At 40.9% G+C, this 23,831-nt stretch overlaps 1 protein-coding gene across 2 annotated transcripts in view, besides 3 other annotated features; it reads right to left on the reverse strand.

The window, feature by feature from the left end:
* Positions 1-6,294: 6,294 nt before the first annotated feature.
* The window catches only part of FOXN3 (forkhead box N3), a 462,989-nt gene continuing 445,452 nt past the window's right edge, over positions 6,295-23,831 (reverse strand). For both annotated transcript variants that reach the window (NM_001085471.2, NM_005197.4), the window contains one exon: positions 6,295-13,087. In NM_001085471.2, the coding sequence (NP_001078940.1) occupies positions 12,532-13,087 (556 nt within the window). In that variant the 3' untranslated portion in view covers positions 6,295-12,531. The remainder of the gene's footprint in view (positions 13,088-23,831) is intronic.
* Positions 15,109-16,040: an enhancer, noted in NCBI's record as "H3K27ac hESC enhancer chr14:89631335-89632266 (GRCh37/hg19 assembly coordinates)". NCBI's record gives its function as "activates a minimal SCP1, AML or CMV promoter by ChIP-STARR-seq in naive H9 embryonic stem cells {active_cell/tissue: H9 hESC(naive)}" and the evidence as "EXISTENCE:reporter gene assay evidence [ECO:0000049][PMID:30033119]".
* Positions 15,285-15,334: an enhancer, noted in NCBI's record as "active region_8846". NCBI's record gives its function as "activates an Ori minimal core promoter by ATAC-STARR-seq in GM12878 lymphoblastoid cells {active_cell/tissue: GM12878}" and the evidence as "EXISTENCE:reporter gene assay evidence [ECO:0000049][PMID:35858748]".
* Positions 15,535-15,664: an enhancer, noted in NCBI's record as "active region_8847". NCBI's record gives its function as "activates an Ori minimal core promoter by ATAC-STARR-seq in GM12878 lymphoblastoid cells {active_cell/tissue: GM12878}" and the evidence as "EXISTENCE:reporter gene assay evidence [ECO:0000049][PMID:35858748]".

The following is a 23,831-nucleotide window of genomic DNA, read 5'->3' on the forward strand; positions in this document are numbered from 1 at the left end:
AAAATCCCATTGCTCCAAAAAAAAAAAAAAAAAAAAAAAAAGCCAGATGTGGTGGCACACACCTGTATTTCCAGCTACTTGGGGGTCTGAGGTGGGAAAACTGTCTGTGTCTGGGAGGGCAAGGCTGTAGTGAGCTACAATCAGGCACTGAGCACTCCAGCCAGGTGACAGAGGAAGACCCTGTTTCAAAAACAAACACACAAACAAACAAAAAAAAAAAAAAAAAAAAAAAAAAAGAAAAGAAAAGAAAGAAAAAGAAAGGAAAAAAACAAGAAATGGCCTAGCAGAAAGGATTAAGCATCAAAAAGGCATGCTTTTTGTATAATACAACAAGATCCCTGTGAATCAGCATGCATGAACACATTCCCTCTTAGCTCAGAGCAGAATTTGCTGCCATGGTCCACATTCAGGCAGAAGGCTGGAGGTGATGAACTCCTGCAGGTCTATGCAGCATGTTCAGTGAATAAGAGTTTTGCAGGGAAGTCTAGCCTGATAATCAACAGAAGGCTTCATGCATCTCTCTGCACACCCTTGTTTGGCCATGATAGTGGCAGGAGGGTTATTAAGATAAAGTAAGAGCATCCTCTACCATTCAGGTTCTCCAATCTTTTGCTCTTAGAGCAATTTTGAGAAAGGAGTGATAAAAGTAAGGTGGTGGGGAGAAAAAGCCGGGAGCAGGGCAGGTATGGGAGACAAATGTTTGTTTATAAGCCAAGAACATCAAGCATCGTGCAGAAGAAATGTCCCAGATTCTTTTTATCACAGAGCTGGTGCCAGGCAGCAAGGATTAGTTCATTAAGAAATAATCCACCCATTGGAGGGATGGCTAAGTCTGCAGATAGTGGACAGGCTCTTATCCAATGTCTCATCAGCTAACAGGTGAGAAGAGGGGAGACTGGCAGGAGAAGAAGACAAAGGCTGGATTCATCTTTGCAACCAACATGCTTATGTCTAGAAAAGACCAACAACTACTAAAAAGTTTGGGGAAGGATATACCAGCTGCCAGTGAGATGCCCATTAATCAACACAGCTGGATTTTTGGACACGATCATGCTTGAAGGTAAGAGCCAAATTTTTTATCTGTGTCCCAGCACCTAACAGGATTGTCACATAGCAGTTGCTGAAAAACAAGTGTGAATTGACTATGACAATAAAGGAGAGAATCTATTTAAAAAGTTTCCAGGCTGGGTGAGGTGGCTCACGCCTGTAATCAAAGCACTTTGGGAGGTGGAGGTGGGTGGATCACGAGGTCAGGAGTTCGAGACCAGCCTGACCAACATGGTGAAACCCCGTCTCTACTAAAAATACAAAATTAGCTGGGCATGCTGGTGCACACCTGTAATCCCAGCTACTCAGGAGGCTGAGGCAGGAGAATCGCTTGAAACTGGGAGGCAGAGGTTGCAGTGAGCCGAGATCACACCACTGCATTCCAGCCTGGGTGACAGACTGAGACTCTATCTCAAAAATAAATAAATAAGTAAATAAAACAACCCTTTCCAAACTGTTTTTTTAACTTCTTTATTCTTTCGTGTTTTTGGATAGTCTTTTTAGTCTACTGAAGTTCTGGATGCTTAAATATATATGCCATGTTGGGTAAAGGGCCAACTATTTAAAAGTAAGTAGGTGCCAGAAGTTACCAAACTCCTGATAATATTTTTAAAGGAAGCTAACTATACAAATTCATTTGACTATACTTAAAGGCTAAGTACATGCTAGATAGGTCAGTCCCCTAAATAGGCATGTAAATAAAGTGAAGAAATACTACTAGGCATTATACCAAAACTTCCGGGTTGTAAACAGCAGACAATATCTGCACACTACAGATCCATGTATTAGTTTGTTCTCACGCTGCTATAAAGAACTACCTGAGACTGGGTAATTTATGTAGAAAAGAGGTTTGAAGAGGAACTGTGAAGTTCCTCAGGCTGTACAGGAAGCATGGCTGGGAGGTCTCAGGAAACTTACAATCATGGCAGAAGGGCAAAGGGGAAGCAAGCACATCTTTACATGGCAGCAGGAGAGAGAGAGAGAGCAAAGGGGGAAGTGCCACACACTTTTAAACCATCAGATCTCATGAGAATGCACTTACTATCATGGGAACAGCAGGAAGGAAATCTGTCCCCATGATTCAATCACCTCCCACCAGGTCCCTCCTCCAACATTGGGAATTACAATTCGACATGAGATTTGGGTGGAGACACAGAGCCAAACCATATCAATCCATAGCCTCAATGTCACCCTCTGAGTGAGAATCTTGGGTGGATTATTAAGAGAATAGTTTGCAAGCTCTTGGCAAGGAAGCCATCTTGGGCTAAGACAGAGTAAAGGAATGAATGAATTGTGGTTTCTTTTCATGTACGGGGTATGTTCCTCAAGACTTCATATAATAACTACATAAGTCAAGGCTAATTCCCCCATAGGAATAAAGTAGAATTCACATTATTTCAATGTTTATGCAATTAGTGAAATTTTATTCCTTTTCATTGCTTTATTTCAAATTGGCAGACCTTACCTTAGCATAGAGTGCAACTTCATTTCCTTTCTTATAAAGGAAGACTACAGACTTATACATGGAGAATGAGGAGGTACTTGACAAACTTTTGACTGGATGGAGACATGTACATTGCATCTTCAGAAAGCCTGGTGCCTGCATAACTAGTTGAATGATGAATGACTGACAATGAAAGGTGCTGACTGAGAAGAAAGTTGACCTACAAGGAGGGCTCTAGACCCATGCCACATGGCTCCAGCTTTGTCCTTATACAAAAGACATTTTCAAATTTGTGATTAAATGATACCTGGAAGGAAAGCAAATGTTTTTGATGACAAAATCTGAATCCTCATACCCCCAGCCCACTGCCAATCTGAACTGGCTTAAGACAGTGGACCAAATCCAAGGAGATTTGACAGAGATAATGTAGTCCCTCGCCGTGACTCAAAATGGGTATCTGGAGAAGAACATCAATAGACAGGACTTACTTGTTTTAGCTAATAGCAACTTCAATGTGAATCAGTGGTTTGGTTATATTAATGGAAATAGAGGATCTAGAATGAGGTGGGGAGAGTTTCTCATCATTGAACTGTACCTGGAATTCTGTTGTCAGTTCTCAGTTCTGATCACAAATGGGAACATGTTCAGAAGAAAGCAAATAGGAGGCAGAAGTTGGAATGTTTATTCTGAAAAAGACTTAGAAATTATTGTTGTTTTCAACAATATTATTGTTGCCATGTGCAAGATGATTTAAGTTTACATGTTTGTGGCCTTTTAGGATAGTCTAAGCACCTTCAGGTAAGTCTTAGGGAGCAGGATTTTGTCTTAATATAGGAACAATTAGAAGTGTCTGAATACGGTAAAAACCTCTGGAGGCAGGTGATGTTTGGGCATCTTGACACCATTTAATGGTGAACTGGGGACATTGTAGCAAGGAGTCTATAAATATGAATTCTCTCTTTTAAACTCTTAGAGAGTCACTTACAGATGATTCCACCAAGATAAATAATAAACAGTCAGCAAACATATGAAAAGTAATGTAACTTTGCTAGAAATTAAATTTAAATTAAAATGGCAACAAAGTACTATTTTTGTCTGTTAGCAAAAATTAAAGAGTAAAATCATATCCAATACTGGTGAGAGTGTCATGAAACTGGGGTTTGCATTCATTGCTGTTGGCATTGGTGCCTCTTAGAAAGTCTGCGTATAAATAGCTACCTCATTGATAACACTTTTGTTTCAATAGTCCAATAGGCAATCTAACTGAAAGACAAGTGGAAAGAATGTAAATTGCCACATACCTGAAGATGTTCATTGCAGTATTACTTATAATGGAGAAATTGAAAGCAATATAAACATTGAAGAGTAAGGTAACAGTTGAAGATGGCAGGACACCCATTCAACAGGATGTTATGTATTACTTCAAAAGATAATCATTTTTCACTATAGCTATATGGAAAATGCATAGGATATGGTAAGTGTGTACGTGTGGTGAATTGCCAGCTATGAAATCCTACAGATCTGATGATTATAATTACATACCAAATAAATGGATACAATAGAAAAGACAGAAAATTTCTTCTCTTTAAGTCCAGCTCCACGACTAGCTAGGCGTGTTATCCTGGGCAAAAATTTTCCTGTGTCTCAGCTGCCTGGTCCATAAAATGGGGAGTTTGGACCAATGGTCTCTAATATTCCTTCCTGTTTTATAATGTGAATAGACTGGACTCATTTAATGAAGAAACCGTATCCTGGGGGGAGCTAGAAATCAGCCACTATCTTGGTTTCAGACTTTCCCCACCAGACATAATATGTACTTCGTCCATATTATATCTTTTTAGAAGTCAGTTTGAAATGTGTACCAGGTGAGAAAAAGTAGAATTCCTGACTCTCTCAAGTAAGCTGCCGTATTTGAAGGAGATTTAGCCATAGATACTCCAAATTACTTTATTATGGAGTAACATAAAACGATTCTCACAAAAGTTACTGAGTCCAAAAATGCCCAAGAATGATTTCAAATTACGGTATGACTGCTATGAGCATTATTTAGACACACTGCTCTAGAAAGGTCTGTTCACACAAAACAAAGGAGCAATTTTTTAAAAGACTTGAGTACAAGGGAATAAACATATTATTTAATATTATTAAATGCTTATTCCCTTGTACTTGAGTCTTTTAAAAAATTGTCCACACCCAGCCCACAAACCCTGGTTTTGTATTCCTATCAATGAAAAAAAAAAGGTCAAAATACACTTCTGCTGGCATATGTAGGGCCATTTGGTTTGGTGATCTGGAATTAGGGTAACCAGAACATGAGCTTTTAGCTCATAAAAACCTCCTAGTCATATCAGACTCCCGAAAATGCCCTCATCTGTTCATAACTTTCTAGAAGGATGGTGACTTCTTGGTTCATACTTTCATCAGGCAGTGCAGTCAAAAGGTAAGGAGAAAACTGTTTAGGGTCTGCAGTGCCCCTCACTGGCACCCATCCAGACTCAGCTTCAAACCCAGAAGAGCCTTCATGGTCCCTGACACCATGGGGAGAAGTTCCCTTCTCTAAGAACCCATAGGAATTTGAAGACAGTGTTACCTGATCAGAATTTTGCAGGTGTGATCATTTAGACAGGGCTCCCTCAGGCATGCTGATCATCCACGTGGGGTCTCTCCTCCAGTCTCGAGAGTCACTTATTGAAAATGGTTGTTGTAGGTGCTGTTTTAAGGTGGCCCCACCTTATATTTGGCCTCAAGCACTACCCAATTTAGATGATTACTTGATTCATCAGATTCAGCTCCCAATGACTTTAGCTCTTCCTCCCAATCAAGTCTCCTCAAATATTGATTTGTACCCTGGAGGACACATCACAGCTTTGAAAGTGATTCAACAGTGGGATCAGATATGGCAGCAATAAGGGCCAAACCCACAGGATCCAGAGGTGACCACCTTGAGATGGGTAACGGGGAGGAATTTATCCCCGTAAGCTTACCAGGACAGATGGGCCTATGACCTCAGAATGATACCATAACTGCAGGAGGACAGGAGACGCAGCCCAAGCATCTTGGAGAACAAAGACACCAGTGGATGTGGGGGCCCAGCAGAAGGGTAGTGTCCAAGGCCAACTCTACACTACGGTTACTGTTGGTGGCAAGACCTGCAGACAGGACATGCTGAAAACAAAACCATCACAAAAGGAACCAGAGAGATGCACGAGAACATCCTCTTTCTACTCCTCCAGCACGGTGAGTGGTGCCCTGTGATCCCTTCCTTGTTCCCACTCCCCTCTCTCCCATCAGCTCCTTGTTGGCTCCTGGGGGATGTGTGTGCGAGGGTCTGGGGTGGGCACTTGAGTGATGACGTAATAAACCCTGGCAGATGAAGGTCTTAGGGCTAGGAATGTCATTACAAGAAACCCTCAGGATCTGGGATAGGCTGGCAGGCTCCAGTACTAAAGTACAATTGCAGTTTATTGTTTGACAACTTCCAAATGAAAGGGAAGCTCTGTCTAAACCACAAGTCTTAAGGCTCATGATGGGAGGCTGGCCAGCCACCAGCTACACCAAAGCTGGAATTCTCTTGAGATCCCGGGTAAGCCCAGCTTCCGAATGTGCATTTGTGTTTGCAGAGCAGTGTGTGATGCCCACCCAAGCCTACGCACGTGTGAGGATGGGCACAATAAATGCAGCTGAGAACCCCGAAACCAGACTGCAAAAACTGCACACACGCCTGACCGCAGGTAAGGAACAGAAATGACGTTGTGGACCAGCATCTGCACAGGGAGGCGCAGCACACATAACACTACGTGGTGTTTTTCTTCAATTGATGCAACTCAGTAATTTTTATTGCAACTGGAAGACAATACATCACAGAAACTTTATGGTAGGTCTGGGGAAAAGTGTTATTTACAATAAATGATGAAATAGTTTGTCTTTGGCAATATGATTACATACGAAGAATGCAAAATGCAGGTATGGATGCCTTCCAAGCAACACCAAGTCCCTAGAGTTCGGCTGATCGCGCCTGCCTCCACACTGTTTCTTTAGGTTTACATGAACATAACAGAACATCACGTTCTTTCTCCTTTATGGTTCTCCCTTTCTATTCATGATATTGGCAGTTTCATACAGAAAATACAGAAAAAAAATTGGCTTTTGAAAAATTATTACTCTCGTAAATTAATTTGGCCGTGTAGGTCTATTGGCCAGCCAAGGTCAGACGACCCTAAGCATCAATAGTAAACCTCTTGGTCTTCTGATTGCTTTATCACTTTTTTTTTTTTTCTGTAAAACAAAACAAAACTCAGAAATGTTACAGAATCAGAGTATTAAAAAATGTACAAGTGTATATGCTTCCCAGACACACATGGATACATTTTTCCTCCACATTTTCACCATGGCAGTATTAAGTAGTGAGTGTGAATGACACAGCATGAAACTGGTTACTGAATCAGCTATGAGCTCAGATGGCCTCAACATACATACTCAAGAAATGTTGCATGTTTAAATAACTGAGAGTGTGCTAAATCTCATCTAAAAAAAAGGAGGAGAGGGGCTGGGGAACTCAGGCCACAGTCATGAAAGGATGAATACAATTTCTAGGTTTAATAGGTTCACCATATCGAAGTCTTTGAGAATCCAATATGGAATATCAATTATTTTGCAAAAGGTAGAGAAAGCAGTTCTCAACTTTTGCAAATGAAATACAGTGGAAAAACACTGTTGTATATATTCCAAATAAATAGTCTCGATTTCAATGCTAACAAAACAACAGGAAGGGTACTCGTGAGCATCTCACGGTTAAGTCAGAAATGATCGTTCACACACGTCTGATTTCAGAAGTACAACAGCAAGGTGCAGCACCATAGACACATCGGTTTCGGCTGTTAAAAGATGGATCGTTTTAAAAACTGTGTTTTCCTTCCTTAATTTTTGGTCAGTGAAGCTAGCACTTGTTTGCTGAACTGTGGAAGAACTGCAAGGTCACACACATTATTCATGATAAAGCAACCGAGCTGACGAGTCTGTGCTTAATTCAAGAATAACCAGTAGGAGAGAGAGAAAACACAAGGAGTTAACCACCATCGCCGGTGCTCTCTCAAAGGAAGAGGGGTTAACAGATGAATTCACAAAGGTAGGCAGATCTATACAGAACACTGAATGCCATGTGTAAATCCTCATGAAACTCCAGAAACAGGAACACCACACAATGTATATACTTTGATTTACACATTCCGTTACAAAGGAAAAAAAGACACCATTACAGCTTTGTAACTGTGTTAACTGCAATATAAACCAAGTCCAGAGTTTGGCAGGTAACTAAAAGAGGGTTATCACTTAGGTTATATAGCAAAAGTGTTGATGTATATTATATATAGTAGTATAAATAATAAAAAAGTATTATTTAAATTAGATCACAGTGCTGCATTATGTGCATAACAGTGTTTGATATAGTATTGGTGGGCTGGGACCTACGACACTAAGGACTTAACTGTCAACACTGGGAAGTCACAATCAAGAGGAAACACAGAGTTCCAATGTTTTCTTTTGGTGGCAAAAAAAATCCTGAAGATGAAAGAAAAATACTTCTCTACAGAAACATAAAAATCAATTGCAACATCTGGGCAGCTGTGATCCACCAGAAAGAAACGAGTCCCAACCTGGATTAAAGGGAAAGAGAAATCACATGGAATTTAATCCAATCTCATCTAGAAAAGCTTCCCATTTAGGTCACTTGTACGTAACTCCAATTCCTTCTCCAAGAGCCCTTCCAGGAGAGGCCCAAGGCGCCCCCCACAGAGTGGAATGAGTGGAACTTGCGTCAGTAGCCCTTGGCCTGGGCAGTCCTGGCGTGGTGCAGAACTCTGAGCTGGGCACAGAAGGCCTCCACCTGGTTCTCACTCTACAGAGCCCACTGCCTGATGCTGTCCCTCAGGCAGGAGCCTCCTTCAACACAACGGCCCCTCCCAGAAGGCTCTGTGGTAGTAACTGCTGTGGCCAGCAAGCACTAGACACATTGAATGCCTCTGCAAAACAAAAGAAAACTCTGTTCTTGGGAATCGGCCTCTGGCACATTCCTTCTTAAAAACTCCCAAGATTGAGACCTGCCACAATCGTTTTGGCCATGGTTTTCTCCAACCACCAGTGAAATATGGGTTTGGTTCATTTTAGTTTCAGATAGATGGCTTCACCAAAGAACTCTTGAAAGAATACTGATTAGGGAGGGGCAGGGAAGTAGGAGCTTATGGTATATTATAAGGCTGGGAAAAATCTATGATGCAAACCCTTTCCACATAGTACTAGATAAAGACAAAAGACAATTATAATAGGATAAAAATAACTGTTTATATGTATATCATTTAAGAAAAAAAAGAGTGACTGTCTCTTTCTCTTAAATGTATCCGAGGGCCAATAGCAAGTAATCGTAGACGTCGTGGTGTTGATGTGTTCACGGTTGGTTTCCAAAGCATCTTTAAATATTGCTATAGTTCCCCGTTTCCCCCTCCCCCCTGCCCCGTGTGAGTATGTGAGATACTGGAATGACACATGAACCGCCACTTCTCCCAGCAGGAGAAATGAAAGCAAAAACGCCACACCTCTTAATGGTGTTCAGGCGATCTGTCAGACTAATGGATACATATGCTAGTTTGGAAGCTAAAAGAACACCTGACGTTTGGGAAGGAATTCCAAGACTAAAGTGAATGACACTTAAGCAAAATATTCTTTCACAAATAGGCTTGTGCTTAAATTCTCTACTGCTCTTGGAGGAGGGGATAAGAGAGGGTGCCTCCTGCCCCTTGGCTTGTTAAGGACACGGACAACCTCATTCTCCAATAAATTCACTACAAACAGCCACATACACATTGATACTTTTTGTTTTTGTTCTCAACAATCAAAATACAAAGTTAAACACAATTGAGCCATTGTTTTGGTTATGCATAATGTGTATGCCTCCAAAAACAGAAGAAAAATAGGAAGAAGTACCCTCACTAAAGGTTCCCCGACAAGTCTTCCGGCAGATCCAACGAAGGGAGACTCAGGAAAATCACACTTAGAAAGCTGCCCGATGAGGTATTTATGCAAAAAGAGTGGTTCTGGAGTTAAGAACACACTTTTATATTTCTCTATTTCTCAAAGAGATCAGAAAAGTAAATCACACACATTGCATTTTATTATTTTCTAAAAGAGGCCTCTGCCCCTTTAGAAAAATGAAATGAGGGGAGACAGCCCACGGTGGGGGTTTTAATTGGAAGAAGTCCTCGGCCAGAAACAGTCCTGAATGTTGAACCTCTGCCTTTCAGGAGAGAGGTCTGAATTTTATCATCTGTGGGGTGGGATGAAGGTGGGGGACTGAGCTGGAGGTCTTTAGGCTTGGTCAGGTGACAACACAAATCAAGGTGTCGCTCAGGTTCCATAGCTGTGGATGGCTTTTAGGGTGTCAGATGTCTGGGGAGACGGAGGGAACAGAGCACTGCGAAGATACTTTATTCCCACCTACACCCTGAATAAATATGCTGGAAGTATTCAGCTTCAGGTCATGAATTCGACCTGCTGTAGAGGTGTAGGTTTTTTCAGGTTCTCTCATCAGCAACCCACCGGAAGGTAAGTGTGGGGAATGCACCAGTTAGTTCCCACTGTCCGGGCTGATGGAGCTCTGACATTACCTCGTCCTGGCAGATGGGCTTGGCTTTGGCCCACAGCAGTCCCTTTTTTAAAAGTTAAGGTCATCTCTGTTCCCTCCCTCTCCTCACGCATCATATCCTGAGCCACAGTACTGGGTGTTTTTGTTTTAAAGTTTCCCTCCACTTGGATGGAAGATCATATTCTTTTAGAGATTTCTCTTTGTACCCCCGCCCCCCGCCCCCGCCATTAAAGAAAATTTCTTAGGCAAAGGTAACAACAGGAGTTTCTGGGCTGCATGACGTTGTCTGGTTTCTAAATTCAGCTCTCGCAATCTAGGTGGTCTTAATTCCAGGTTGGTCAGTGTGCTGAAGGTAGCGATGGCCGGCCCCTGCTTCCTATTGCGACATGGCATTGTGGCGATAGGATGTCTGGGGCTGGCCTTTCCTACCTCGGCATCGCTTCCTCCTTCACATGAACCCCATCTCGTCCCCTCACCCAATAAGGCCCATTAGCACGGTTCCCCTTCTTCTGGCTAATTTGCATAATTATTCACTGCCTTTTTCCTAGAACCAAATCATGGTAATGATTTTCTCAAGTAAGCGTCCCATAATTCTCTTGATTCTATCATACACACTCACTACTAAGTTTGCCCTCAAATTATTGCGTCATGTTAAACATGTACAGACAGAGAGAAAGGACACACTTTTCAACAGAGAATCAGAGGGGGTCGGGGCTGAAGTGCACACAAGGCAGTACAGAGTTCAACCATCCAAGCCCTACCAGAGCATGAAGATATTTTTATATTGCAGAGTAAGTTCCCCAACAGTCAGAATTTGTCCCTGAAGAAGGTTAAACCTTAAACACCTGCTTCAAAAAACCAAAACAAAATAACCCGAAAAAAAAACAAAAACAAAAAACAAAAACAAAAACAAAAAGGAAAAAAAGAAAGCAAAGAAAAGGAAAGAAAAAAGAAGAAAACCAAAAGAAACTCTAAGCCTAAGGGCTTAAAAATTACAGGCATAGCCTTTTCTCTATTTTCTATATTTATATGAAAATAATTCATGCTTCATGCTAAATACATTATTTACCTTACAAGAACTTTGTTACTTTTGAATAAAAAAAGTTTGTTTTTGTGATTTTTTTCTCTTTTTCTTTTTTTTCTTCAAAGGAATCCATGCATTGTGGATCAGAAATTTCTGCTGGCTATACTGGCTGAATGTGGAAATCACTGATTTTTGCAAAGATAAATCCTGATATTAATTGCAAACTCCATTTTGAGGGCAGTATAGGAGTTATTTTATTTTTTGCCATGTTTTACTTTTTTTTTTTGTCCATCAGTGTACCTTTAATCTTAAAAATACACCACAATACTAATGGCAGGTTCCGTAGCTTTCTAGTTTTTTTTTTTTTTTCACTTGGATCAAATAGTTTTGATAGACAGAAAAAGATCTGTACCATTATTTCCTTTCCTTAACAGCTATTGTAATTTCCTGGACTTGGTTGCTTTTCACTTGGGCAGTTAAGAAGACACAGCTTGTTTTCCCCATCAGTTTTCTCTCTCTCTCCTTCGTGTGTGTGTGTGTGTGTGTGTGTGTGTGTGTGTGTGTGTGCGTGCGTGCACAGGGCCAATCTTCAGGCTTATGGCTTTTGGAACATTTTCTTAATTTAATAGAGAACAGAATTCAATGATTAGCAACATCACTAAAAATTTACCCCATTTCTTCTCCATGAGTCACTGACACCCGATGCGCATGAACAGTCCAACGTCCACCTCGTAAGATGTCATCGGGCTTCAGGGTTCAGAAGCATCGAGGACTGGTGGCCGGCCCTCTGTGCTCGCCGTGTGACAATTCCAGTGGCTTTCCTGGCACCATCAGATGCCTGGTGCCACAAGCTTGGGTCTGCTCCTAGGGGGACGAGGGGTTCCTCCTCCTCCTCAATTGCTTTATGTGCCTTCACTCAGTGAACCCAATGGGATGGACAACCTGACTTTTTAAACCTAAGGGTTGGGCCTGAACGATGATTACTTTGCCCACGTGCCTTCTAGGTGCCGAATGTGTGTTCCTGTGATATTGACGTTGACATCCCTGCGGATTCAGCCACAGGTTTCTGACAAGCTGGAGGAAGCAATGGTAATTTTGGCTTTTTCGGTTTTGTCTTCAGATAATGAAAAGCTTTTGTAAAACAGCTGAGTGTCAATATGAGTTCTATGGCTTCAATCTCCTTTAAAAATAAAATTCTTAAGGGTCCAAAACAAAGAAGAGGGGGCAAATTAAAACAAAATAAAAGGAAAAGAAAAGAAAGAAAACCAAACCAAAAACAAGAAAAAAGAAAAAAAATTGCTGATATTGCCACAAATCATTAGAAATCTCCTGACATGCTGAAACCAAATGGTCGTAAGTTCAAAACAAATCAGTGACTTGTTTTTAATTTTTTGTGGTTTCCTTTTGCTCTTTCTGCCCCTTTGCCGTCCGATTGGTGATGTTATTCAAACAGGACCGGATCCCTGCTAAGTGCAGGAGGGACCCTGCCGCTTCTTTCATCTCCTCATCATCGCTCTCGGGGGGCTTTTCGGTGCGTCTCTTTTTGAGGGGCAGTGTGTCGCTGGGGACCTTCCTGGCCTTGGCGAAGTGCTGGCGCTTCTTGTGCTGGGATGCGTACCCGCTGTCCCCCAGAGAATCCTTGGGCTCCTTCTGGCTGTGCTTCCTGTCGTCCTCTTCCGTGTCGCTGGGGCTCTCGTGGCTCCGGAAGCTCCCCTCGCTGCCCTCGCTGCCCTCCTGGCTCCCCTTGGTGGCAAACTCATAGTGGTCGTCGGCTGAGGAGGAGGAGGAGGAGATGGAGTCGCTGGTGGGCGAGGTGCTCCGGGCGTTGGAGGACTTGGCACTGCTGTAGTTGTGATCCTCCTTGGGGTCTCCGCTGACCACTGGGGAGCCACAAGATGGCTCACTCTCAGTCCGCATCCGGCAGCTGGTGATGCCATTCCTGCAGAGCGAGGACAGTGGGGAGGGACGGGAGACAAAGAAGGGACACAGTTAGACGTCCTCAGATGGGGGCACCCGGCAGCCCGCCTGCATTCAACCATCAGTCCCTTTGTGTTCAATGGAGCCACTCGCAAACTGTGGGGGCAACAGGTGGATCTGCTTTGAAGGCAGGGTCCTAAATCCTGACACCTCAGTCTCCCCTGCTTATCTCCTATAATGGCAGTTTCACTCCATTTGTGTGGCTGAGACGTCAAAACAACAATCTTCTGAAGCGACAGTGGTGGAGGCTCCATCTCTTACATTAAACCATAAAAATCAAGCTGTGCTTGGTTCGTGTCCCCGCCAACACCACAGAGTCAGACACCGCCAGACGATGTTGGCTGGGTACTTCAGAGAAAAAAGCCTGCTCTCGTCTGAAGCGGCTACATTAGGAGGCTTTTGTCAGAAGACTAAACCAGTGTTCAGCAAAGATACCTGCCATGTGGTGACAGCTACTCACTCATGCATTCCCTCCCTCGTTCATGCAATCTACAAATACTCACTGAGCGCCTAACAGAAATGCATGACCTTAGGGAGGGTTCTGGGGGAGGGACACGGGGTTGGATCGGATATAGACACTGCCACAGCGATGTTGCAGCCTAACAGAGAGGCAAGCCAGGGTCGCATCACAGACCAGAGGGCAATAAACTACGACTTCCCGAACTCAACACCTGCCAGGCGCTCTGCTAAGTCTGTGCAGAGGACCATGTTTAACTCCGTAAGGTGGATATTAGCATCCTTATTTTACAGTGGCTCGAAGTGAAGCCTGGAGAAGTTCAGTGATGTACTTAAAGTCACACAACTGATCACTTGCGGAGCAGGGACTGGAATCAAAGTCTGACTCTCAGACTTGAGGTCTTAGCTACATCACCAGACCGACCCTCCTTTGTGATTTCCCTATAACAAGGTCCCTGCTACCCATGCCTATAAGGCGTCTGTAGCACTCATCACACCTCTGATTATTTCTTTGTGTCTTTACATCTGAGCGATGTACTTTCCTTGTGCTTCCTTATCGCGAAAGTGGGAATAGTAACTACACCTGCTCCCCGTGGGTGTGGGGCTGAGGACACGAATTAATGCCTGCAGGTGCCTGGACCACGGCTTGGCCTGACAGCAATGGCTGTGAAGCTTATTCCTGGTTAGGACCCATGCTCCTTATGTCTGGGAGGCAGCTGCCTGTCTGTTAGTGCCTGGCGCCCAGCCTTCAGAAGGATGAATACTTGCAGGAGAGGAGGGTCACTTGTAGCTGAAGGGGACGAAGGGTGGACGCCAGGGAATGTTTTGTGGAAGACAAGGCATCTGACCTTGGACACAAGGGCTGAAGAATTTGGCAGGGATGGGAACTGTTCTATGGCACCATGCTGGCCCGGTTTCCTGTAAGCTCATCTACCTCGTGATCCATTTCTAAGAGTTCTGGGGAACATGACCATACTTTTCCTGCCTAGATGACCCCAACTGTAAGTACTCTTACATCCCCTCCATAGAGGGCACTCCCCACCATCATTATGAACTGTGTGGTCATGTGTCCCATTAGAGAGCTAGCTCCATGAGACAGGGTGTGGTTACTGCTAGGCCCCCAGTGGCTATCGCCGTGTCAGCACGGTGGACACAGCAGATAAACTGAGGAAGTGCGGCACAGGTGGAATCACGTGGCTGAGAGCATGAAGCTTGGGAAATGACTGTGGGTCTCCACCACCATGACTCACCGGGCACACGCTGAGGATACGGCACTGGTAGAAGGGCTGTGGGGTCAGGACCACCAGTGAGATAACAGTAGTGACAATCTCTACCCTGGCTTTTCTCCTGTCACCCTCATGGGCCTTGAGGCTCAGGGAGACTTCAGCTGCATCCCACATAGAAAGTGAAAGGGGAAGGGAAAGAGTCCCTAATGAAAAGGGTGCAGTAGGGAGTGAGGCGAAGGAGCTGCTCTCCTGGGGCCCCAGGGCCGGTGGTATTTTGCTAAATTTAGGCTGGGGGAGAGACTCCGTACTGTCGTGTCCACCAGCAAAATGTATGAGGGTCATTATCAAAACTCAGCCTTTGCTAGATGTCCGAGAGCCTCCTGATGAACCCCAACACTTACAATGTGTGCATTTGTACACGGAAGTCCCAGTGAGACCCAGAAGGGTCCCAGCTTGTGTCCTGTGCTCCGTGATCCCAGATACACACCACCTCCCCTAAATCCTTACAGACAGAGCCTGGCTTGCAAGCCACACACGCCTGTGCTCATATCCCAGTGTTGCTTACTGGTGACTTTGAGCAGGCTGTTTTACTTCTTGAAGACTCAGCTTCCTCATCTACCTTGTGGGGCTGCGTGAGGATTAAATGAACTGTCCTGAGCACAGAGCAAGGCTGTTTGTGGTGCCTGATCATGTTTTTTACTTGTGGTCCGATTCCTGCGACTTCCTGCTGCTGTGACTTGTTCACTCTGAGCAGTCTTGTTTTCTCTTTCTATTCTGGATCGGGAGGCGTATGGGAACCCAGCACCAAGTCAGAGGAAACAGGCCCTTCAAGAGGAGTTCCTCCAGGGCTTGCCTGTGAACACAGCCCCTGAGCTTTGGGGTTTGGCCTCCTCCGTATCTGTTTTCTGCAGACTTCCTATTTCTTGGCTGTGTCTTGGGTGCATAAAGATGGCTGGGATAAGATTACTTTGAGGTGTCACCAAATGTGAAACTTGGTAAATGTAATTAATCATACAGCTAGCTATTAATAGTTATTAGAGCAAACGAAAATGAAAGTCTCGTTGTATGGTCCTTTTAATTTTTGCCATTTGAGGGAACTACTGTAAAATACAAAAATAATTCACCCACTGAACTAACATCAAACAGTTTCATAGTAAATCTAAGTATACTTGAAAGAGTAAAGTGGGCTATATTTAGCTTTTAATAAATGGATTCAGTTCTGAATGTTTCTTTTAAAAAATAACTTGGGGCTTACAACTCACGTCACTACCACAGTTAAGCAGAACATGATCCCTCTCTGAACACAGATGGGGAGAATCACGAGTGGGAGAGTGAGAAATAAAGCAAGTGCTCCACAGTGCTGATTCCTGGTGAATCTAGGTGAAGGGTCTGTGCTATTCATTGTGCTTTTCTTTCCCTTTTTTCCTAAGTTTGAACATTTTTTAAATCAAAGTTTTAGGGAGGGGGAGAAATACTCTAGAACCAAAGCAATGATGTTAAACGTGAGCTCCACACTATCATAAGAGGAATGGTTTCGAGCCTGAGAATGTCTCTTTCTTTCTTAAACAGGGAGATTAGCAGCATTAAAGAGGGGGATCCAAATGGAAACTTTCTTCTTAAAGAGATCCCATGGATTAAAGGGAGAATAGAAAAGAGAATGATTCCACAGCCCCTGATTTGATGCTGTGTGGGGCAGAGTTTCCGGTACCACCTAGAATCAGACTGCATGCCAACAGAGTCCATGACCCAAGTCCCTATTGGAACACTGGCCTACTTAACCCATTTCACAGAAAAACAGAAGCTCAGAGAGCCCCATGGTTGTTGAGTGGGGTGGCCCGGACAGTCTCAAAGATGGTTCAAGCAGGAATTCAAAATATCTCCCTGTCACTCCTGAAGAAGGAAGTTTACTGTGATGAAGACAGAAAACCAATACATCCACTGATAATATTTCTGGATGAAAACAGGTACACAGACATAACTTCAGGGAGTGAGAATTAAAATATAAATGTCTCTCTTTCTCATTTGATGAAATTAACCTTCCCTGAGATTTTAGCTTGGGATTATGTAATCCATAAGTTACACACAAAACTCAGCAGGAAGTGAAAAGCTCCTTCAATTATTAATAACTTGGTGCAATGTTATTCACGATGGTGCAAGCCAGCTGCACTGACTTGGTGTCAAATGTTTCCCGCCGCAGGGATTGCCATTACAGGACAACAAATGCTTAAAAGAAACCAGCCATTCTGAACATGTTGGAAGGTGAATTTCTAACCACTTTCTTAAAAATCATTCATTAAAGTGAACATGTGATACATCCGAAATGCCTGCAATTTTTCAGTTTTAGCTGAATTTATGTGTAACGATATTGCAATTAGCATAAATCAGAGCCACCTGATTTTACTGGGCCTCTAAAAGTTTAAAGCATGTGGCTCAACAAAACCACGTGCTATTCATCTCAGATAAAACCTGGTACTCATTCTCTTGTCAAATAGTTGGAAAATATCAAACATAAAAAGAGAAATCACATTAGTTCAAACCCAGAATGAGCAGGCTTTCAGCTAACAAGTCAAGGTGTAGGTTTACGACATGGCCATCTGCCATTTTTTGTTTGTTTGTTCATTTGTTTAACCAATTAATTAGGGGTTCCACTACAGTATAATGAGCATGTGTCATCTCTGCCTCTTACCTGGTGCACTAGGAGTCTCTCTGGAACTAATGGCTCTAATTCTAAAGGATATCATGTAGGGTAGTTGTCCTCCCCAGGGATTTAGTTGAGGACTCTGATCTTTTGCCAAATGTGAAAAGTAGATGGGATTAATGGGATTGTAGAAGCAGGGGACTGGAGCAAGTTCAAAGCTTCTTTTGAAAATCAACTGCAAGTAGACATGGAAGAGAAGAGATGACCAAAGACTTCCACCTCCAGCCAAGTGGTAGAAAGACATTTGGAAGGTTCTCTTCTGACTATAATATAAAAGATCCTAGATCAAGTACAGTAACTTGTTTTAAAGGCATTGCTGAGTTCACTAGAAAATAAGGGATATTCAGAGACCCATAGAGACATACACACAAATAAAACATTTTAAAGTAACCTGCAGTGTGAGCAATCAGGCAACTAGGCAACGAAGAAAGCCAAAGTTTCTCTATAGCGAACGTCTGCCCTCGCAGTAGAACAAGAACCCAAACTCACTCAGTGGGAGGCAGGAAGGGAGCAGCAGGAAGGTTGATGCTGGCTGCTTCCTGCTTACTGTGTACCCTCTAAGGGCGTTCAAGTGGCTCCAGGTATACTGGTCCCCCAGGCTCCCCACCGAAGTTTTAAAAGCAAATCCTCTCTGAAAGAACATACTTTAAACCCAAGCCACAAGGAATTTCCACAGATAAGATTTCAAGAACATGGGTTCATAATAAAAAAACAAAAATTAAAAACATTAAACACAATGGGAATAAGCCACCATAAGCAAAGAGACAAGAGAACAGAGAAATGATAGAATCTGAACGGCAAAGACTATAAATGTTGAAATAATTCGTTACAGAATGTAAAGTTAGTATGTTTAAATAAAGGAGGGAATTGAAAAATACTAGAAAGGAAGATCAGGCTATATTGGAAAGCACTAAACAGAACTTCTAGAGATAAAACATATAATCCTGGAAATTAAAAACATCAATGCAAAGTGTGGTGGCTCACACCTGTAATCTCAGCTACTCAAGAGGCTGAAGAGGAAGCGCTTGAGCCCAGGGGATCAAGACTAGCCTGGGCAACATAGCAAGACCCTGCCTCAAAAATAAATTAATTAATCTACACTGAAGGTCTCCTAAAAAACTCAATGTAGCTGAAGAGAAAAATTAGTGAATTGTTAGATGGACCTGAAGATACTACATAAAATGCAGCAGAAAGACACAGAGATAGAGAATATGGAAGAAAGGTTGGATGAGACGGAACACAGAAAGAAGAACCAACGGAAACCTAACTGGAGTTCCAGTGAAAAGAAAGAATGGAGAAGATTCAATACTTGAATAGAAAATGGCTAGAATTTTCTAGTTTTGATGACGGTACCAATCTTCAGATTCAGAAAGCCAACACGTCCCATGCGGGATAAAAAAAATAAAGTCCATACGGAGACACATCACAGTCAAACTTTAGAGCAGACACAAAAAAGACAAAAAGATTTTTAAAGTAGTAGAAAGAAAACGTATCGCCTAAAGTACTAATTAAGATAAAACAAGTGAAGCAGAAGAAAGTGGAACAATATTCTCAAGAGAGAAAATAACTGTCGATCTAGAATTTTATATTCAGTAACACTAACTTCTAAGGGTAAGGGCAAAATATAACTTTTCAGGCAAAAATTCAGGACTTTAACTACAAATAAACCCTTACTGTAGGAATTTCATAAGAATATATTTTAGGAAAGAGAAAAATGATCCAAAATGGAAGATCTGAGATGTAAGCAGAAATGATCAGTACAGAAAATGTAGGCTGGGTGCTGTAGCTCATATTTGTAATCTCAGCACTTTGGGAGGCTGAGGGAAGTGAATCTCTTGAGCCCAGGAGTTCCAAGACCAGCCCAGCAACATGGTAAAACCCCATCTCTACAAAAATGCAAAAAATTAACTGAACATGGTGGTGCATGCCTGTAGTCCCCACTACTCGGGAGGCTAAGGTGGTAGGATCATTTGAAACCAGGAGGCTGAGGCTGCAGTGAGCTGTGTTCGTGCCACTGCACTCCAGCCTGGGCAACAGGAGTGAGACCCTGTCTCAAAAAAGAAAAGAAAATGTGGCCAAGTATTGATTGTACAATACAATAATAATAATGACTAAGTGGTTACACACACACACACACACACTCACAAAACACACACACACACAAAACACACACAAAGAAACAAAACCAGAACCAAAGTACTGGAGAAATGTAGCATATCAATTGGGAGGTGGACAGAACTGAATTTAAAGCATTCCCAGAGCCCTGTATTGATCAGAAGGTTAAAGATATTGATTAACTTTAAATACTTAAAAATATTCATGCTAAAAGTTCTAGGATCAACACTAAATGAAGAAAAACAGAATGGGTAACTTCCAAACCATTAGAAAGGGGAAAAATGGAATGAGGAGTAGGAGAATCAATTTAAAATAATGCTAGAAACAAAAAAGAATCTGAAAAAATAGGGCAAACACAAACGTAAAACGAGATGATAGAACCAAACCCAAAAATGTCAATAAAAATGCGCTAAAAATCTTCAGCTAAAAGGTACAGATCATTAGCTCAAATTTAAAAAAGAAAAAAGAAGCCATGTGCTGTTTGCAAGAGACAATCCTAAATAACAGGATAAAGAAAAACAGGTTAAAAGTAAGACTGGAACAAGTTGTGCTATGCTGGTATAGCAATATTAAAATGAGATCAGATAGATTTCAAGGCAAAAATCATTACTCCAGATAAACAGTCATTCAACAGTCTAAGGATTCAACCCATCAGGAAGATAAAACCATTCTAAACATTCACAGTTTCATTAAAATACCTTCAAAATATATATGTCTAAAATTGAAAGAGGTACAAGAAGAAACAGTCAAATCTACATTGGAATGGGAGATTTTAATGCATCCCTTTCAGTATGCAATTGATCAAGCTGACACGCACACACACACAAAAGTTTCATATGGAGAAGATTTGACATAAACATAGAACATGTGCTAATAATGGAAAAGACATATTTTCTGATGCACACATGACATCTTTTTTATTTTTATCTACTTATTTATTTTTCATTTATAACTGATAGAGATGGGGTTTCACTGTGTTGACCAGACTGGTCTTGAACTTGTGGCCTCACGCAATCTCCCACCTCAGCCTCCCAAAGTGCTGGGATTATAGTTGTGAGCCACCACGCCTGGCTGAAATATTTTTTAAAAACTGATATATACTAGACCACACAGCAAATGTCAACAAATTTCAAAGAAGCAATAATGTACAGATAAATTCTCTGACCACAATGTATTCAAATTAATAGTCAATGTTGAGAGATAACTGAAAACAAAAATTAAAAACAACCATCTTCTCTTTAGTGTGGAAATTCAAAAAACACATTTTAAAAATACCCATGGGTCAAAGAAAAAATCAAAATGGCAATTAGAAAATACTTATACCTTAACAATAATTAAAATAAATATACCAAAACCTATAGAATGTAATAAGCAGTAGGGTGAGGAAAATTATAACCTTAAACTTCTATAGAAAAAGAAGAAAGGCTTGAAATAAAAGTACACAATCTAGACAAAGAAAAACAGAATAAATCCAAAAAAGAAAGGAAATTATAAATAGCAGAAATCAATGGAATAGAGAATAAATGCAAAGTAGAGCTAATTTAAAAAGTTGATTCTTTGAAAAAAAATCTATGGCGAAATTAAGCAAAAAAGAAATGATACAAATGAAATAAGGAATAAAAAAGGGACATAGTTACAAAAGATGTTTTGAAAGATGACAAGGTATATTATGAATAACTCTTTGCCAATATATTTGAAAAGAAAAACCCCTAGAGTTGCCAAAAGAAATTCAAAAGGAAATTTAAAAACACAAGTCATCCTATTATCATTACGTAAATTAAATCAATAGTTAAAAATCATCCCACAAGGAAAACATCAGTGCCAGACTATTTTGCAAGCAAGTTCCAACAAACATTAAGCAATAGATATTTCCAGTCTTAGATAAACTCTGAAAGAATGAATACGCCTCAACTCCTTTTCTGAGGCTAATGTAATCTTGACACTAAACTAGATAAAGACAGAACTAGAGAAACCTGGGTTATAAACAAAGACACAAAATTCATAAATAAAACATTAGCTTGGCAACTCCAGTAATATGTAAAAAAAAGTATCATAAGCAAGTATATTCAGAAATGCAAGTTTTGTTCAAAACGACAAATTTATAGTATAATTCACCACAGTAAAAAAAAGAAAGAAAAATTTTATAGTTATCTTAACAATGCAAACTTTTTTTTATGAAACTCAATAACCACTCATGATAAAAATATCACAGCAAAGTATGAATAGAATAATTTTGTTATGATAAAGCATATTTCCTAAGAAACCTTTAACTAATGTCCTATCAACTGTGAATCAGTAACATGGGTCCATTTAAAATATGAAATAACACAAAGATGCCTGTTATCATAACTTCTATTCAGAGGTCCTGGACTGTGCAATAGGACAGGAAAAAGAAAAGATACAATAATTAGGGAAAAAAACCCCACCAGTATTGACAAAAGATATGATTTGTGCACAGAAGAATCTATAAACTGTTAGAGTTACTAATGCAGTTTATTTAGCAAGGTTGCTGGAAAAAAATCAATAATGTGAAATAAATTGCATTTCCATATATTAGCAGCAAGTAGAAAATACATCATATTAATTTGTAAAATTTATAACAGCATGAAAAAGAATCTATTCCATGTAGAATAAATCTAACTGAACAGGCATAAGAACTTTAGGGAAAAAAATCATAAAGCTACAATGAGAGGCACTGTAAGATTTAAGTAAATGGAGAACTATACATGCTCATGGACTGAAAGATGCAAAAAGGAGGTTTTGTTGTTAAGAGTCAGGGTCTCACTATGTACAGGCTGGCCTCAAACTCCCGGGCTTTAAGCAACCCTCCCGCCTCAGCCTCCTGAGTAGCTGGGACTACAGGTGCATGCCACTGCACCTAGCATTCAATATAGGAGTATTAATCCACAACAAATTGATGTAGAGATTCCATACCACTCTAGTCAGGAACCATAATAGGGTGTCTTTTCTTTGTTTTTCTTGTTCGCGCACTCCCTTGCAGTTTATCAAGCTGATTATAAAGTTTATACGCAACTGCAAAGAGCCAAGAATAGCAAAGACACTTTAAAAAGAACAAGGTGAGAGAACATGTGCTCCCAGACTTAAGAACTTACAAAGATATCATAATTCAGACACTGTGGTATTGCCATGGTACAGGAAAATATGAAATAGGACCAAGAGTCCCCAAAATAAACCCACAAATAGAAAGAAACCTGATATATATCAGAGCTAGCATTTCATATCAGTGGGAAAAAGAGGGGCTACTTAATAAGTGATGCTGAGATAACTGTTTATTATTTGAAAAATATTTAAGTGTATCTTTATCTCACACTGTAACTCCAGATGGATTAGAGACTCAAATAATAAGACTTAAATGTGAAAGCAAAAAACTTTCAATCTTTTAGAAAAATACTATAGGAGACTATATGACCATAGAGTAGGGAAATAAATTTTTAAGACACCAGATTTCATAAAAAGATTGATAAATGTGATTAATAAGAATGGAAATTGAAAGAGAGTGAAAAGACCATCCGCAAACTTAGAAAATCTGCAACATATGTAGTCAATACAAGATTGATATGTAGACTATACCAAGAACTCCTATGAAGAGAAGAAAAAAGGGAACCCAGTAGAAAAATGAGCAAAATGCTAAACAGGAAATCCATAAAATAATATATTCAAAGAGCCCCTTAAATATATGAAAAACTGTGCAACATCTTTAGTAAAAAGGGAAATATAAATTAAAGTACAATGAGATACCATTACGTACCTACCAGATTGGTTGAAATGACAAAGCATGACAATTCTAAATGTGTGTGAAGATGTGGAGGACTAGGGACCATCACACTCTGCTGGTGGCAGTGTAATTGGAAACAAGCACTTTACAAAACAATGTGGCATTACCTTGTAAAGCTGAGCATGTACATACCCTATAAATCAACAATTTCACTCCTAGACATCTTAAATGAATCTGAGACATGTATAAGAATTTCCACAGTAGCACTGCTTGTAATATCAAAGAACTATTAATGATCCAAATGTCTTTTTTAAAAAAATGATAGTATAGTCACATAATGGGATATTATATAGCAGTGAAAATGACTCAATTACAGCTAGATGTCACAAAACAAAGAAACCTAATATGAGTTTTTAAAAAAACAAAGTTAAGAAAGACACAGTATTATTCTAGTTATTTAAAAAACTCAGGGCTG

The sequence above is a fragment of the Homo sapiens genome, chromosome 14, assembly GCF_000001405.40.
Source record: "Homo sapiens chromosome 14, GRCh38.p14 Primary Assembly".
Taxonomy (NCBI): Eukaryota; Metazoa; Chordata; class Mammalia; order Primates; family Hominidae; genus Homo; species Homo sapiens.